Source organism: Homo sapiens, chromosome 4 (assembly GCF_000001405.40).
Source record: "Homo sapiens chromosome 4, GRCh38.p14 Primary Assembly".
Classification (NCBI taxonomy): domain Eukaryota; kingdom Metazoa; phylum Chordata; class Mammalia; order Primates; family Hominidae; genus Homo; species Homo sapiens.
This window is the reverse complement of record NC_000004.12, coordinates 59993331-59994734: the sequence shown is the minus strand read 5'-3', so window position 1 is coordinate 59994734 and position 1404 is coordinate 59993331. Positions and strand designations below refer to the sequence as shown.

At 41.2% G+C, this 1404-nt stretch overlaps 1 annotated feature.

The window, feature by feature from the left end:
- Positions 350-644: a silencer, noted in NCBI's record as "tiled region #1726; K562 Repressive non-DNase unmatched - State 24:Quies". NCBI's record gives its function as "represses a minimal TATA promoter and a strong SV40 promoter by Sharpr-MPRA in K562 cells {active_cell/tissue: K562}" and the evidence as "EXISTENCE:reporter gene assay evidence [ECO:0000049][PMID:27701403]".

Genomic DNA, 1404 nt, shown 5'->3' with positions numbered 1-1404 from the left:
TTGAGAATCTGTCTTCCTTTGTGACACACTTTCCTCTGATGTCTCCCCACCCTACACATAACTACTGTTTCCTAATTGATTTTCTACACTGCTATGCTCACCTTTGAGTGGCACCTTTGCTTTAGCCTTTCTCACAAACCAATTAGCATGTATTCCCCTATCTGAGCTCATAAAAGCCCTGGACTCAGCCACTGAGAGAGAAACCACCCAACTGTGGGGGTGGGGACTACCTCTGCATCCTCTCTTTGTTGAGAGCTGTTCTGTTACTCAATAAAATTATCCTGCACCCTCCTCACTCTTCAATTGTCCAGTGTATCCTCATTTTTCTTGTATGAAGGACAAGAACTCAGGACCCACCAAATGGAGTTATTCAGAAGGCTATAACACTGTGGCCCTCTGCCCTCCACCAGCAGAGGGCAACTGCCCCACACCATGAGAAGCAACAGTGTGGCCAAGCCAGCCCAAAACCACAAGTCGAGGTGGGACAAAGGCATTGCTGGCTGGGAGTTTCCAGCTGGCAAAAGTAATTGAGAAAAGTCCTGTGTTATTATTCCTCCTGATGCAGGAATCTGATAATAATACCTTTGTTTATTTTTTGTATTTATTCAATATGCCTAAAAGATTGCACTCCCTTGCTTCTACTATCTTTGTCCATATGCAGAATATAATAATATGGCCTCTGTCCACCAATTAATTCTCTCTGCATCAGAGGAAGATGAAAACATGCTTGATAGGTAACTTTAACATTGGAGAACAATTTGATCATGTTCATTCTATCTTCCTTTCCTTTCTTTTGGAGCCAGTTTTCCTGAAGAGAACCAACTTTTTGTGTTCCTTCTAACATATCCCTTACCTGCCACACCCACATCCATATCTAGACAGCAGGATATTTCACTGGTCTAGCAGTCCCTGTGATTCTGTGGGTGAATCTACACAATTTTAGTATCCAGTATGCAGTAGCCATTCACTCACAAAATAAATCCTTTCTCCAATACTTCACCCTCCCTATTAATACTTTTGGTGTTCTGAATGACCTTTAATCCTTTATGTTACTTTTCATACTGCCATATATAGATGGTCCCTAACTTACTGAGTTTGATTTATGATTTTTCAACTTTATGGTGGTGCAAAAGTGGCACACATTCAATAAAAACTTGCTCTGAATTTTGATCTTTTGATCAAAGGCTAGTGATACGTTGTAAGACACTCCCATGATGCTGGGCACAAGCAGTGAGGAGCAGCTCCCAGTCAGCAACAAGATCTTGAAGTATCAGCTCGTACTCTACAGCATACAGTATTTCCAGATGATTTTCCCTACTGTAGGGTAATGTTCTGAGAATGTTTAAGGTAGACTAGGCTAAGCTATGATGTTCAGCAGGTTAAGTGTATTAAATGCATTTTCTA